The sequence below is a fragment of the Homo sapiens genome, chromosome 7 (genome assembly GCF_000001405.40).
Source record: "Homo sapiens chromosome 7, GRCh38.p14 Primary Assembly".
Classification (NCBI taxonomy): Eukaryota; Metazoa; Chordata; class Mammalia; order Primates; family Hominidae; genus Homo; species Homo sapiens.
In genome coordinates, this window is record NC_000007.14 from 48,694,923 (window position 1) to 48,712,539 (window position 17,617).

Sequence of the window (17,617 nt, forward strand, 5' to 3'; positions counted from 1 at the left end):
CCTGGGGTGTTACCTGCAGCCTGTCCCCGTGTGTGCCTGGCACTCTCCCAGGGGCAGAGAGGACCCTCAGGTAGAAAGATGCTGGATGCAAGCCAGGCGCGGTGGCTCACCCCTGTAATCCTGGCACTTTGGGAGGCCGGAACGGGTGGATCACATGAGGTCAGGAGTTCGAGACCAGCCTGACCAACATGGAGAAACCCCGTCTCTACTAAAATACAAAAAATTAGCCAGGCATGGTGGCACATGCCTGTAATCCCAGCTACTCGGGAGGCTGAGGCAGGAGAATCACTTGAACCTAGGAGGCAGAGGTTGTGGTGAGCCGAAATTGCACCACTGCACTCCAGTCTGGGCAAGAAGAGTGAAATTCCATCAAAAAAAGAAGGAAGGGAAAGGAAGGGAAGAGGGGAGGGAGGAAGGAAGGAAGGAAGGAAAAAGGAAGAAAGGAAGAGAGAGAGAAGGAAGGAAGAAAGAAAAGAAGGAAAGAAAGAGAGAGAAAGAAGGAAAGAAAGAAAAAAGAAAGAAAGAAAAAAAAGAAAGAGAAAAGATGGAAAGGATAGATGCTGGATGCCGTTGGCAGGGCTGGAAATTGTTCAAGGTCACCTCCTGAGTAGGTTGAAAAGACATGGACAGGGACCAATAGCATCAGCTTCATGTATCTTATGTCAACTCTTTTAATGAGCTGGTGAGGTTGGCTACATTGCTCCATTGTTATAACTGAGAAAAAGCCAGAGAGGTTAGTAACTTACCCTGCTTTATCAGTATAATAAATGATAGAGCAAAAACTCAAACCCACCTATACAGAAATCCAGGACTTTTTGCCTTCCCATTATACTATGCCTAATATATAGGAATTAAACAAAGGAAATGTTATAATCTTTTATCAAAGCAAACTGCATCAAAAAAAGCCGAACTCAAAACCTGAAACATTAGATACCTCAAACATGTTATACTCTGCTATCATAGCACAATGACAGCACCTAAATCCAATGGCTGCTGTCTCTATAAGACAATTATTTATAATTTACTGCTTAATATTTTTGAGAAGAAGAATTTGATTTAGATATTAACAGATCTTTTTGAAAGAAAAACAAATGAGGGAACATTAATTTCAAGAATCTGGGTTTGTACAAAAAAAGCTTAAAAATGCCTATGTTTGTTCATCATACGCACTGAAATGATTTTTATTATTTATTATTCATTTTTAAAGAAATTCGGCACTCTCTAAATGGCTTACTATATGATCCTTCCCAAAGTATTTGAAATTTTATGGTATAAGTTAAGGGACCTTTACTTTCTTTCTGAATCCCTGTTATACCTCCTTGTTACTATGGCAATCCATCCCAACAACTGTCTTTCTTAAGCTATGTAATTTTTCCTCATTAAATTATTGCACACCCTGCAAAAAATCAACACGGAAACATTAACAATGACCAAGACACAGCCATTGATCAATATTGATGCCCAGAACCCAGGCAGACATGATGGAGTGAGAGGTTGTACCTTAATAAATGGCCACTTTGCCTTTTCTGAGCAGTTGTCATAAAAACACACCTTAGAGGGGTAATTTCTCTTTCCACCAGAACTTTTTATTGCTTGTAATTTAGAGCCACAGTAATTGAGATGTTGAGTGGGGAATTGGTGACAGAAAGGTGAGAGCTTGGGGAAAGGAAGTTTTGACCCACATGTTAATAACGCATGATCACAGCTTGAGAAAATGGTAGATCCTGTTTTTAATAGCAGAAAAAAAGAGGCTTGTCTTTGTTGGAGAGTAAAATAGCAGCCCTGGAAACTGGAGGGGAAGGAATGGATTAAAATGAAGACACTGGGACTGTATTTGTTAAGAAAGTTGTATTGGAACTTGGTAACAATAAAATCTATGCACTTGTTTTAACCTGATACAGGGTCTTTGAATTTTATTTGACATTTCTTCTCTTTTCTCCAGCTGCTAAAAAGCCAGACCTGTATTTGTCTTCCAAAGTTAACAAATGCGTAAGACATTATGGTATGCATTTCATGATTAATCTCTCCCTTGGATGAAAATTAATTTCCTACTTTTCTTCCTTCATCCTTTAAATTTTGTTTGGTATTGTGCATACTTCTGGTCTCAAAGCCTTCACAGACCACACAGGATATAAATCAATCTGTCAATTACATTTTAATGAACATGACAGGCTAATAAAGTGAACTAGACCATCAACCATATCATAAATATATTGCATTATTTTTGACTCTTTTTATTTACAAGAAGAGGAGGTCAGAAACGCATTTTTCCTTTTAATGTTCACCTTTGTTTAGTTACCCTTTTCTTATATTTACGTATAAAAAAGTGAGGTTTCATTCAGCTTAGAAAATATCTGGCTTTAGGCAAACAACTAGTGTTCCCCATCCCATAAACTGTCAAGAAAGGGTGTGAGAAAATATATTTTACTTCATGATTACTGATTTGAAATTGTGAAGACATAGTTCCAGGTTTCACCCCAGATGAAGCTCTCAGCAAATGTAATTCTGACCCATTTCAGACAGTCATAAGAGGATGTGTGTCATGTACCTGTTCTGTAGACATGGTGAGCGCTGGCTGCTTGCAGGGCCCATGCAACACTGAGCTCCGACCCCTCTCAAAGCTGGGCCACAGTTTTGATGGTGTTTCTCTCAGCACTTCAGAGTCCTCCTGACTCCGCGGGATTTTACTCTATGTTTTATTCATCCATATGGTCACAAGACTTGAGGACAGTAGAGCCTCAAGAAACAGCTGATAAAGGAGTGTGGGGTTTGCCCCCCCAAAAACAGCTCCTCTTTTATTCCTGTGACTGATTCCACATTCTTTCATTTTCCCAGGCCAGACATCTTTTGCTTTCATTGACCCTCTATCTCATTTGGAAGAGGAAAAATCATGAAGACCTCTGGATTCTTCCTTAGAAATATATTCCACAGCAAATCTCTCCAGACTTTATTTCATTTAACATTATCTTTATCTGTGGCCTCATCATACTGGGTGCCATATACTGACATAACTTTGGGACTGTCTTAGCTATCTCCAACTGTCCCTTTCTTTATGCTATTTGAATATACCTAAAATACGTTTTTTTGTTATGTCTTTTCCCTTATGAATAATTTCTGCCATTTAACATTTAGTATGTCCTTTTCGGGCATTCAGCTGTCTCTACAATCTGGCTTCACCTCTCACCCACATTCTTTTCACCAGACTCCCTATCCATTGTTGGCCTTCAGAAAATCTGTTATTATAGTGCAGATTCTGATTTTACACCTCTTGTTTCTCCTTTGCAGAGGCATGTAAGAATCAGTCTTTAATGTCAACATCTGCACCACCAAGAGCCTAAAGTTCTTCATTGCTCACATCCATTTAGGTTTTTCATCATGACACCTGAGACTCTAAAATAAATAGTGAAGGAAAGATGGAAGGATACTGGCAAGACATTTTATTTTACACATGCAATAAAATAAGGATGTGCCAGATTAAAACATAAAGATTAGGATGGACACACCAAGCTCAAAACTGACATTTTCACCCTATTACACCATGACTTAAATAAATATTAGAATTTTCCTGGGTTCTATCTCATACTGCATTTCTTCTCTCGCTGGACCACACCACACATTTCTTAGTTTCACATATCACTAATATGCCAGTGACACCCAGGGCTGTGCCTCTTGTGTCTATCTCTCTGCCGTTTGTTGTCCTAACTCTACCTAGATGCCTTCAAACAAGCTCAAATGTTTTAATTCATTGTAATTTTCACCAAACGGGTTTATCCTCCAGAAATTTCTGTTGAATGTTCACCTTGAAGTCTACCTTCTGTAGAAGACTTACAAAAAAGAGGAAGAATCAGTGGAGAGTAGAGACTCCGAGCAGAAGTATGAGAACAGGAATACCCCAGGCAAGGGGGAGGGCCCATTGTGGTGCTTGGGAAGGACGAGATGGTAGCTTTAAGTGGTAAATAAGCATGCTACAAGGCACAAGAGTAATGCACAATAGAATTGAAGTCCAATGGATAAGTTTGAAAATATTCTAAAACAAGGTGGAAACAAATATTCATATTTAGACTACCTCCCCCTCAAAAGAGTGGAGGAAAGGCAAGAATAGAGGCGAGGGATAGGAAAAGAAGGACAGAAGCAAAATGTATTGTTGAAAATTTAAAAGGTGATGTATACCAATGATCAACAAATAATGGCCTAGAATCACCTATTGAAATAAAATGAGCAAAACAACTGTCCTCCAGAAATTCCCAGTTATAATTTATGTGAAAGTAACAGACCTACCACTGAAGGACGGTTGAAAGTAAGGGGTTAAACTTAGAAAATACTAACCACAAGAAAGTTATGAAATATAACAATTTTAGACAAAACAAACTTTAATAATAAAAGCATTTTTAGACATTTGAAGGATAAAATGTGTGATAAAAGGTTCAATTTAGCAGGAAAATGTAACAGTTATCATCTTAAATGCATGGAATAAATTAATATCAAATAAGATAAAGGAAAATAATTGTATCATTACAAGGAAAAATATAAACTACACTATCAAATATGGGGGTTGTAATACAACTCTCTTGGCAGTCAAGCATTTAAGCAACATACATACAACTAAATAAGCCATCTGTATAGCATAAACTACATGCTTTTTATTTTTTTTACACCTACAAGAGAACTCACGTTCTCAAGAACATACACAATTTTCAGTTCGCCATGGTCTTTGCATTACATTTTTTCAGAAATAGAATTTGAGATAAATATGTTAGTACCAGTACTTTACTTATGAGGGGAAGGAAACACTGATAAAGAAATGGAAAGTGAGATAGGAAAAGGAAAACTAAAGCACTGAGTTTTAAAGCAGTTATCAGCAAGAGTAAATGGAGCTTGTTCTTGCTGAGAAATGGACAGCATAAAACATGCATCTGAGTTCTTCCACACAGGGACGATGGAGCTGGAAAATTGATAGACTAACTCCCATCAGTCATTGGTTGAGTGCTGTTCCTTGGGGGCTGCAAATTCTGGAACACCTCTTGTTCCAGCTCAGCCATTGCACAGGTCATTGCAGAGGCCATGGCCATCGAAAGAAGTTTACAGGCAAGCAGGTGCTGGCAGTTGGAAATCAAGAAAACTGAAGTGGAGAGGAAGACGCAATAAGGCTAAACTATCAGCAACGTTTGCTACAACCCCATTCTAGTCAATATAACAAATATAGGCACATTTAAGGAATCTGTTCCATATTGTTTAAAGTCTCGGGTACAGAGCAACTAAAAAGTATAATAGTAAAGATATTTTAAATCCACATACATTTGAATTTTTTAAAAAAAGTTCTAAATAAATACACATCAAAAATAAACTCCCAATAAAAATTTAAAGAAATACCCAGAATTGAGAGATAATAAAATTATGTATAGAAACTTAGGAGATGCAGTTATAGAAAGATTTAAAAGAACATTTACAAAAAATAGCTGAAAGTTAATAAGCTAAGCAACTACATTATAAAGTAGAAGGAGTACAGCAAAATAACCAAAAAAAATCGAAGGAAGAAAATAATAACCAAGATGACAGTAGAAATTAACAAAAGAGAAAATACCACAAAAAGGGTCAAGAGAGCCAAATGTTGATAGAAAAACAAAAACTAGTGGAACAGATAAATACCTGGGAAGATTGAAGAAAAATAAAATAAAATAAATTATAAATAACTATATTAGAACATTAATTATACATATAATATATAGAGAGCCTATATAATTATATATATAATGATGTGTATATATAATGTTTATGTCTCTAACATAGTTCCATATATGTGGAAATTATTCAATACATTTTAAAATTTATATTAAATATTTGAATTTCTTTTAGTTTAACATTTGAAGTGCCCCTCAAGTTATAAACTAGTTTTTGGCCACAGGTTTGTACACATAACAAAATAAAACATTGCCTTTGAGATTAAACATTCCTCTGGAGACACTGATGGCATTTTACATGACGCTACAAAATCAAATGGAACACTGACATTGGTATTACACTTTTAGCTGGATTACAGACGTTGGTCAGTTCTATCTTTACATGCAAACTTGTATGTATTATGCTGTGTCCAGTTCTATAGAAAGAAATCATTTTTAGAAAATTTAAAATTAAGTAAAATTATGCTCTATATATAAATTTTAAAGATGCTTATGCATATCATAAGTATGTATCATAGAATACGTATTTAAAAACAGATGACAACATAGGTGAGGAGATATGCAGTGATAACGAAAGGTCATTTTAATGTTTCAGTTTTTAGATGGGTGGTGAGTTCACGCATTTCATTTTCAATTTATCTTTCTAATTTACGTACATGAAATATAAATATATCAATTGTTGTGGAATAAAATATTTCATTGCTTGTAGAAATTTGGAGGCTGTTGTTGATCTCCCTAGGACTGTTGCAGAAGGCATTTCCAAATGCTGACACAGAGATGATAGAGTAAGCATTGCTCTATTGAGTGGATGGGAGGGGAAGAGAGAAAATGTAGGCCTGAGTGGGCATAGCAAGCAAAGTGGCTTTTGTACGAGTTTATGCTTCAGCCTGGGAGCTGTGCACAGTGGATGACACTTGAATGACTAAAGATGGAAGAGACATTCAATGCAGCCACAGGGAAGGGAGGGAGTCCATGGGCGTCTGATTGATCACTATCAAAGAAGATTAAGGAAGTTTGACCTCCAAATCTTGGTTGGACATTTTTGTGCTTGGGGGAGAGTTAAGAGAAAAGATCTGAAACATTTTCTCTTAGATGCATTTATGTTTTTACTGGTGCCCTCCAAAGGTCAAGGGTTGAGAGAACAAGAGAGGCTAGGCCGGATGTGGAGAGCAGACACGAGTGCAAAATAGCTACAGGGAAGAAGGAGAATAAAAGTCATCTGAGAGCGAATAAAGATTGACTGAAAGCCCAGCTGGGATCAGATTACACAAGTGTGCCGGGGAGGTTTATTATATTCTTTGAGGGGAGCCTGACAAGAATTGGGTATTAATTAGTCACTGATCTGTATTAAATGATATATATATTTTTCCAGGCTGTGGTGATTTGGAGTGCATGTAGATTGGTAGGAACAAGCATCCTACCAGGTCAGTTGACGGAGGACTTTACCTTCCATGGGCATCATATGATATGGATTATGAGGACACACTCAACACACCCTCAATTTCAGGGATATTGAAATGCAAATATTTTGATTGAGATAAGAAGATTCTTGGAGGAGCCCACTTATATACTACCCTGACTGCTCTCCATGCTGTGAAGAGGGTTTTTTAAAAAGAACATCATGATCTGGAGAAAGGCAAGGATTAGGTTTGCTGAGCTCTACATTGAGAAGATGAAGGAGAGTGAGAGATTGGGTGCTCCCAGACAATAGTTAGTAAAGGAATTAAAAACAGAAGCCAAGAAACTACGAAGAAAGAAACTTTGAAATATTCCTTTGATTGAATGCCCATTAAAAAATATGCTCTATGCAAATTTACATCTATATCTGTTTCTAAATCTATGTATGTATGTGTGTATGTATGTATGTATGTATGTATGTATGTATGTATCTATCTATCTATCTATCTATCTATCTATCTATATCTATCTTATATGTTTTAAATGAATGCTGGCGAGCAAGTTTGATGTAGAGGCTATCCCTGATTTTAAAAGGTGCTTACAGCCCACAGTGGGTGGGGGTGGGGGTGGTGACAGATAGGTAAAGGAACAATTTAATGCTATCAAAAAGGAGGGACGTATTGCTGGGTATGGGTTGTGGATAAATGTGGCAAACCTCAAGTTCATAAAACATAATAAAATCAACAATAATCACAACGGGTACTATTTCTGAGCACCTAACTTAAATTAGGTGCTTTACAGTATCATTTCAACCACAATGTTCTTATCTCATTTTGTTGAAAGCTGCAAACTCTTTAAGGGCAGGAACTAGGTATGTTCTGTTTATCAGTCTACACTGGAGACCTACTGTAGTGCCCAGCTCACTGTAAAAATAAATAAATAAATAGATAGATAATAATAATAAATAAGGGAACTGAATCTGTCCACCACATCATGCTGCACTGCTGGTGGGGAGAACTATGTTAAATCCTAGTCAGCCCTCACCAGCCATCCCAGCCTGGAGCAACTGAGTCTAGTAGGCTGTATTAAGTCCTGTCCCACAGGTTCTGTCCATGGCTTCTCCTCTTTGGCTGGATACTTGAGAGTACCTAATATTCAGCACCTGTCCAAGCAGGCAGACATTCAGAAGCCAGCTTTCCCATCAGCAGTAGCATTTGTGCTCCAACCTGGGAGCCGTGCACGGTGGATGGCATTTGAATGACCAAGGATGGAAGAGACACCTGCAAACCCATTTGTGGTGCATATGTCCTTCTTTGAAAGCAAACATGGTAATTTGTGCATTTTAAAGTATATAATATATTTGGAGGCTTCAAAGGAAAGGGGGCAACTTGGAACACCAAGTAAATGACAAATGTATAGAATCATTTTAAAGGAAATGCATGAATAACCGATTTTTGAAAAATCAGTAAATAGCTCTTTCCCCTTCTAATTTTAAAAGTTGGGTTATTCATTTTCCCCAAGACTTTCATTAGCCTTAGCAAATGCGTGCTGTTCAAGCCTCAATTCTTGCCATAAGTGCTATTCAGAGAACATCTGCGTGTAGCAGCTCTTTCTCTGTTTCCAAGCAGAGCTGCGACACTTGCTGAAAGGGAGCTGCCACACTGTTGTGTCATCGATAGGCCCAATCAGGCTGCCTCTTTCAGATGTTGAAATAGCATGTTTTCTGTACAAAGCAGATGCTTCCATCATATGGGACTAAATTATCCTAAGAGGTTGAGGGAAGGGTCTTAGGATGAGCCAAAACAGGAAGCTCTGCAGTAGGCTTCAAATGCTGCTAAATTCTGGCGTTTGTTTATGTTGAAAAGGAAACAATGAGAGAATGGGACAGATGATCAGTGGCATAAAATCCCAACCAAAGCTGAGAAAAAGAAAATGAGCTCATAGTTAGGTTTTCTGTAAAATGGCCCTGTGTGGTTTAGTTAGCAGAGACTCTGGGCTGAAGCTGTGGTCCATGCTCTAAGGGGTCCCCAAAAATGGATCTTGGCAGGTAGATACTCCCTGAGTTTTTAACTTAAGTCAAAATGACTTCGCTACGAAAAGGGTCTACTTCAGTGAAGAAAATTGGGGTCTGGAAATGAAGCTTGGCATAAGCCAGTTGTGGTTAGGGAATCTGCTCTGGCCGCAGGGTTGGACTCTGGTAATGGTACTTCCTGTCCAGATTAGGGTGTCAGAATGGGCATCGTGGACTCAGTGGGCTGATGGATCCTGTCCTGTGGGGGAGTCTTCCAGCAGCTGGGTTTTTGACTCTGAGATTCTTCTAATCTTGGAAATGCTATCATTCTTGACCCTCTATCAGCCTTAAAGAAAGACCTCAGCAGGCAATTGTGGCTACAGAAGGCATACTCAGCTTCCATGGAGACAGGACAAGTGGCCAGGGAACCAGCAATGTGTACTGACGTGCAGAGGCTCAACAATGTGGTAAACAAGATCTAGCAAAACGAAAAGGCCAGAAGCACATTTGTAGAGCACTATAATGAAGTCCTAGGCTACCTCATTCAATTCCTAAAATCTTCTGAAAGGTAACTATTACTGTGCTAGATTATATAGAAAATATAGAAGCTTATAGTGGTGAAGTAACTTGCCCAAAGTCATGTGCCTAGTAAATGGTTAAGGCAGAAGGGAGTTTCAGGTGTGGATTATATAGCTTCCATCTTTAAGCTACATCAAACAACCAAGGTGGGGGTAGGGTTATCAGGTAAGCCTTCAGTATTGTAGGGCCCTCAAAACAGACAATCTGTATATCATGGACACAGCAGCACATCTTGGAATCCAAAAACCTTGTGAGCCTGGTTCAGATAGACTGCGAAACCTGAAGTTCAGCCTGTGAGATCCAACAGTGATGGAAGCGGAAAGGAGTCACTGGCTTGGTTTGGATGCACATGAGCCCATATACAGAAAGGCATTTTTACCCACCTGTAATACCAGGTGAAGTCCCTGATTAGCCTGGTCCTATGCCCTAGGCAGAGTCGAGAGCTCAGTGCTGCACTTTCTCCAGCGGGATCCAGAATGGGCCCTGCCTGATGACCCGGAATTTTATCCAGCCCCTTTCACTACAGCACTCAGAATTCAGCCAGGTTAGCTAATGTTCACTCACACTCCTCTCAGATTGTCCTTCAGTTATAAAAATCAGCATTTGTCAGATGAATTTATTAATGTCTTCCCCAAGTTCAGAAGCTAATTTCTAAATGAATTCCATGACTTTTGCCCTGCAGAACAGGGAGTGCTTACATGCCAGCTCTCTCAGAAGGTGATCAGGAAGTTTGGGGTGAGAAGACAATCCAGGTAGGATGATTCCTGCAAAATAGAGCTGCCGTGTTCCTGCATGTTGTGCCTCCAGCCTGTTTAATGCACAGCTATGTGTGAAGAAGGAAGTTAATAACTCTCATTTTGGTATGTTGGGACATCATCAACATGCCTGTAGGGTTCTAGGTATATAAGAGAACTCCAACATTTAATTAAACTGCCTGCAAACATTGATTCATCTGTTACCACCTGAATGGATTGGTCAGTGAATGTCTGGTGCTCCTTCGGAGAACTCTGGAAAATGGATAACTCAGGGGCAGAAATCTGGTGTTAAAGGGCCACAGGGAGAATGGGAATTAATTCTTCCAGAAATGCCTTAGGGAGGAGCCAACCTACAAATCTTTCATAAGTATGCAAACTTGGGCCAGGATAGTGATATAAGATCTAGTAGGAGGCAAGGGGAGTGTGAGAACTGTTGGATACTAAATGTGCCTTTGATTCTTAGAAACAGCTGTTTTATGCAGAGATTACTTGAATTTCTCTCCTAAATGTTTGAAAGAAAAACTACTGGTTAATTAGGATTATGCTGACTTTGAGTTAATTTTCTGAATAAGTGTTCATCCAAAAAATTTGTTGAGAACATGTAGTAGATGTTCAAAAATGGAAACAAAACCACTGGCTAGGGAAATAGCTATAGGAGATCTTGCTCTTTAGTTTTCATGCTTTTATAATTAGGATATTGACTACAGTAATCATCAATGTTCCAAACAGACTCAACTTAAGTATCCATCATTATATGAATTAGTTTATTAAACTCGGACATTGAAAAAGAAAGATCAAAATTTAGTTGAGAATGCCTGAATGCATCCTCTGAAATGAGGGTGGTATTTTTCAGTAGCATAACTTTGTGAATACTTATTTATGACAAACTCAGTGTCATGCACTTAATTTTCTCATCAGCTTTTGTTTTTGCACACTCATTTTTGGTATGACTCTTTAACCAGTGCAATCAGGGGAGTAGACCCCATCTTGGTTTATCCTGAACGAGTGGTTCTCAACTTGAGGAACTTTGACTCTCTACTGAAAGGACCATTTGGCAATGTCTGCAGACATTTTTGATTGTCACAACTGTGGAGAGAGGATGCTAGTGGACTCTAGTGAGTGGAGCAGAGACGCTGCTAAACATCCTCTAATGCACAGGACAATCCCCCACAACAAAGAATTATACAATCCAAAATGTTCATTGTGCCAACATTGAGAAACCCTATCCTGACCGAGGTCTCCACCTTTAGCAAATAAAAAGACAGGACACTTAGTTAAATTTGAATTTGAGATAAACAACAAATAATATGTATGTATTATGTAACATATAAATAATACATTAGTATATATATGTTCAATTGACTATAAAAATGTGGTGCTTAATATGTCCCAAGTTTTTATGAGGTATATTTTTTCTAAAAAAAAAATAGTTCATTTGAAATTCAAATTTATTTAGGCATCCTGCATTTTACCTGGCAACCCTAGATCTATCTCTTGTACAAGAATGTGACCTATTCCATGAATTCTAAGCTTTTCTGCAACAGAAGGAAATTTTATTTTGTATGCAGCTTATTGTGCCATTGCATAGGCTTTGTAATAAAGCATGTCTCAATGCAGATTCCATTTCTGACCTACTGTACAATCATGGAGAGGTTATTTAATTTCTTTAAGCCTTAGTTACTTCATATATGTTATGGGAATAATTATGACAACCTCATAGGTTTATTGCAAAAAGGAAATAAAATAATGTATGTAAAATGACTAGTATTCATAAAGGATAATTATGATTTTTATTATTGATTTATTATTTTCCTCAGTAATACCTTGAAGTTCTCTGTCAGCCCAGGTTTTATCAAGATTTTTTTTCTTTGTAATATATTCAGTGGATTTATAGCAGCTTGCTTTACTAGATAACCCAAGAATGGGTTGAGTTTTATCTTTTCTTGTAATGTTTGTTGAAGTAAAACACAATGATCAAGGGAGCGAATCTTGATTATACTCTTCATCATTTTTCTTTACATAGTGAACATACTCATGGGTATCATCCAGCTCAAAACGCAGAACGTTGTCAGCCCCCAGAGACTCTACCATGACCTTTTCTATTCATTACACCTCTAAAAATAATGAATATCTTTATGTCCATCACTATACATTAGGATTTTTTTTAATTTATGATGAATGGAATTATGTGTTAAGTACCCTTTTGTGTCTGGATTTTCTTTTCTTTTTTAAAAAATATGTTTTCTTCACATTATGTCTGTGAAATTTGTCATGCTGCATATAGCAGTAGTTTAATCTTTTTGTTTACTGTATGACATTCCGTCATGTAAATATGCAAGGCTTTATTCACCTATTCAACTGCTGATGAGCGTTTGGGCAGTTTCCATAGTTTTACTATTGGAAATGGTGCTTTTATTAATATTTTGTATGAGTTTTGATGCACATACAAATGCATTTACATTGGGCAGAACAGTTGTGATACAAGGCATGCACAATTTTAGGGTTAAGTAGATAGCTATACAATTTTGCATACAGAATGCGCTAATTTATGTTCCTACTAAGAGTATCAGAAAATTTCATTGTCCCACATTGTCTCTACAGTTGAGATTGCCACTTTTTATAAATGTTAATTCTTATGGTGGGTAGGTAATATTATCACATTGTGGTTTGAATAACATTTTTCTGACAATAATGTTGAGCACCATTTCAAATGCTTATTGGCCATAGTAATATAGCGTTTTTTATTATTATTATGCCAGCAAAGCAGGTTCGCCATGCAATGGTTATCATTTCATTCCAAAGCATCATGGGCTGCAATTTCTACTCCTTGCACAAGTTCAGGATACTTACAAACACAGGTTACATGCAGTAGATTTATTACCTATAGACAACTAGAAAGAGACAACAGAGGCCTAAGATTCATGACAGCCTGATCCCAGAGGCTCAGGAAAGCTGCCAGGACATAGTCTCGTTTGCGCATGCCGCACTTGCACTGTAGCTCAGGAACCTTGGAAACAGTTCTCCTGTTTGTCAAACATCGCCAGACATCCAATTCTAGGAGAGATTGGAACAGAACTTGGGCTGCTCTGGAGAGCCCCTCTTTATCTCAGAATGTTGCATTGTTAGCACATTCTATAGTTATTCTTGAGAACTATAGACAAGAAATGAGAGAGAACTGGGATAGTCTAAGGCCACATGGAGATCTGTCTTGCACTATGTTGACTTAGTTTAGAGGCCCCGGCTGGAGAGGAGTCAGGCCCTTTTCTTGTGGGGTCAATTAAGTCCGATCCTCAATTACCTCCTTGTTTGTCTCTCAGACCCTTGGCCGCTATTCAGTCGCCATATGTGCCTCGGAGCCAGGTACCAGACAACCAGGAACAAGCCCACTGAAATTATTTCAAGTCATCAAGCCTAAGCCTGTTTGCCCTGCCTAACCCTTTCATTCCTGCAGAAACCACAAAAAAAGGTTTTCGCCTACTGCTGCCCTTTATCCCTCTGGCTCAACTCTGACGCTGGTGCTCCCACGAGTGGCCCCCTGTGGCATGGCACGCTGTGTTCTCCCCAGGGAACTGTGAGTATAACAAAACTGTAAAACTCTTTCAAGCTTCTCTTTTGATCTTCCTCTGGCTTCACCATACCTCATCCACATTAATATGGTTAAATCAGCCATCTGATGTCTTGTCAAATGACAATGTTTTCCTCCCATATTTTTTTGGCAGGCCTTTGTTTTCCTTGTTGAATTGTAGAAATTTTGTTTTATAAAGGATATAAATCCTTTGTAAGATGCATGCATTTCCAATTTTTTTTTTCTACTTCGTGGCTTGCGTATTCACTGTCTTACAGTATCTTCTGATGAAGAGTAATTAATGATTTAGCAAATTCCAGTGTATCAATATTTTGCTTTATGATTGGTGCTTTTTGTGTGCAATTTAAGAAAACCTTGCCAACTACAAGACAATGTAGACATTTTCCTATGATACCATCCAGAACCTGTATTGTTTTAATTTTCACGTTTACTTAGTGGTACATCAGAGTTGTTTTTCTGTGTGTGTGTGTGTGTGTGTGTGTGTGTGTGTGTGTGTGACGTGAAAAGTATGGCATACGTGAATGGTGAAGTAGATGTGAAAGATTCATTTTGTTCTTCAGGAATATCTGGCTGACCCAGCACTGTTCCTGGAGTATGCCTCCTGGCATTACAATGTCACCTTTTCATAAATCAGATGATCACATAAATTCATTTGTTGAACTTAAATTTTTGATTTTTATTCTTTCTTTTCTTAAAATAATATATCCACTGAAGTCTATCAGCTTTTTAAAAGCAGGGCTTTAGAACCATTCTATAATTTTTGACATGCCAAATTCTAAATTTTCATTGAAATTAAAACAAATTCTTTTATTTTGATTTCTTTTTTGAACCATGGAATATTTAATACTTTATTGCTTAATTTCCAAAGATTTGAATTTCTTTAAGTTATTATTTTGTGAATCATTCTCATCTTAATCGTTTTAAACATTTCTAGTGTTATTTGGTTTGACAATATTTTAAGTTAATTTCCATATGATCAGATTAACATATCTTATTTTTTAAGACTTCTGTTATAGCTTAGAATTTAATCAATTTTAGTACACATTCACATGGAAAAAAATTGTCTTCTCTTGATCTGCGTTCAAGTTTTATATGTGTGTGGGCTGAGTGCGGTGGCTCACATTTGTAATCCCAACAATTTCTCCCAAATTGAGGCAGCAGGATTGCTTGAGCCTAGGAGTTTGAGACCAGCCTGGGGAACACGGCAAGACTGCATCTCTACAAAAATACCAAAATTAATCAGCCATGGTGGCACTCACCTGGGTCCCCACCAGCTACTGGGAAGGCTGAGGCAAGAGGATTGCTTGAGCCCAGGAGGTCAAGGCTGCAGTGAGCCATGTTCACACCACTGTATCCTAACCTGGGTGACAGAGTGAGACTCTCTCTAAAAAAAAATAATAATAATAAAATAAAAGGTTTCGTGTGTGCTAATTATATTAATTTATTAATTATATTGTTCTAATATTTTATATTCTTTCTGATTTACTTACTGTCACTTACTGTCATTTACCGAGAATGTTACTTAAACATGAAATTAGAAATTTGTCTACTCTTTTAAAGTTTTTTTCATCATTTTTTTTCCAAGTTTACCTTAGTTTTAGTAGTAAGTAGGAAAAGTTTTAAGTCTCAGAAATTATGTAATTGGAGACAAATGTATTTTCGGGGACCTTTTTTTCTATTTCTCTACAAAAGTTAATAATAGTATCCATTCCTGTCTTCCTATGGTACATAACGTTCATAACATTGTTAATTATAAACAAGTCTGTGGAGCCCTGATAAACTACCAACAGGTTTTCTAGGACTGCCCTTGACATAATTTTTGACACTTAACAAATATGACTAAGTTAGTAGGTATATAATTTTTGTCTCCCCTTAAATAGAACCAAAAAAGGAAGAAACATTTGAATGTTTAAGCAGATAAATACAATTACTACAATCTTTATTATATCAACCTGTTAGAACATATTTCAATTATAAATGCAACAGAGGGGTTTCAAAGTCAAAATGTTCAATTAAGGCACCTGGTTTCTATTAGATTAACATTTGTGTAATCTATTTTTGTCTTTTATTTTACTTTCAAGCTACTTATGTTATTGAATTTAAGGTGAATTTCTTATAAATAGCATATCATTGAATTCTGTTTGTTTACACACTCTGAAAATCTTGTTACCCATTGTAATGCCTCTGTGACCTAGCTGAATTTCTACCTGATCTTAACTCTGCTTAGCTTTAGGAGACAGGATGTCTGAGGTCAGAAGTTCCCCCTGGTGACCAAACCAGTTAAGACTGATGAGATTCAAGATCCAGCTCACTTCGCCTTTGAAGAACCTCCAACTTCATTATAATTTATTTTCCATACTAAATGACACTCCCACCAGTGCCATGACAGTTTATAATCACCATGACAATGACCAGAAGAAATTATGAAAGGACAAAAAGGAAGACCACAACTCCGGTTCTGAGGAATTCTCCACCCATTCCCAGAAAAGACAAGAATACTCCTCCCCTTGTTTTTAATGCCCAAACCCTTCATTAAAGATGTCCCATATCTGTGACTTCCTGTCTCTCATTAATTGAGAAGTTAATCTGTGAGTCAAGCTCCCACTTCTTAAGTCCATGGCCATTGAATAAAGCCTGCACTGCTTGATGCTCACTTTTGGTTTCATGCATTGTCTTCTCATCACTGCATAGAAAAAGAACCCATTTTAAAATCAGTAACACTTTGATTTCTAACGGATTAAATTTGCCATTTTATTGTTTTCTGTTTGTTTGATTTGCATTTTGTTCTTCTGTTTCAAGTGGGTTACTTGAACAGTTTTAAGAATTCTGTCTTTATTTACAGTGTTTCAGAGTTCAACTCTTTGTACAGTTTAATGTTGTTGTAGGTTTCACAGTATACCTAACATGTGACTTGTCATAGTCTATTGGTATCAATGGTGAGTCCTGTGAAAGTTTATTTCCACTTAGGTCTCTTTACCGTCCTCATTTTTCAATATCATTATCTGGAGTACAAGATAATGTAATAATTTTTATTTCACTAATAAAATATGGTTTATAGAATTCATAAAGAAAATAATATATTATTATGTATCTATATTCCATGTCCAGTTTTTTATTTCTTTCTGATCTCTAAGATCTTTTTCCTTTATTATTTCCTTTCTGTTTTAAGACCTTCCTTTAGCCAGGCTTTAAGAGTAGGTCTACTAGTGACATATCCTACATATCCTTTTAGTTTTCTTATGTCCAAGATGGTCTCTATTTCATCTTCTTACCTTAAGGATAATTTCACCAGTTATAGAATCTGTGGTTCAGTTTTTTTTCCTTAAATATCATTTGAAAGTTTTGTGTCATTTTCTTTTGGTTTCCAAGGTTTTGGATGAAAAACTCACTGCCATTTGAATTGGGGTTCTCTTGTAGATAACATAGTTTCTCCAGCTACATTCAAGCCTTTTCTTTGTCATTAATTTTCAGAAGATTAATTATGATGTTTCTTGATACAGATTTCTTTGGATTTATTCTATTTGGGATTCATTTAGATATTTAAATTTGTAAAGTTTATATATTTTGCTAACTTTAAGAAGTTTTTATCCATTATTTCTTTAAGTAGAAA

General features: G+C 37.1%; 1 long non-coding RNA gene across 1 annotated transcript; it reads left to right on the forward strand.

Annotated features, from left to right (window-relative positions):
* Nucleotides 1–13,580: 13,580 nt before the first annotated feature.
* LINC02838 (long intergenic non-protein coding RNA 2838) lies at nt 13,581–16,562 on the forward strand. Its single transcript, NR_183322.1, has 3 exons — nt 13,581–13,781; nt 13,873–13,992; nt 16,235–16,562. It is a non-coding gene; the product is annotated as a long intergenic non-protein coding RNA 2838 (long non-coding RNA).
* Nucleotides 16,563–17,617: the final 1,055 nt, after the last annotated feature.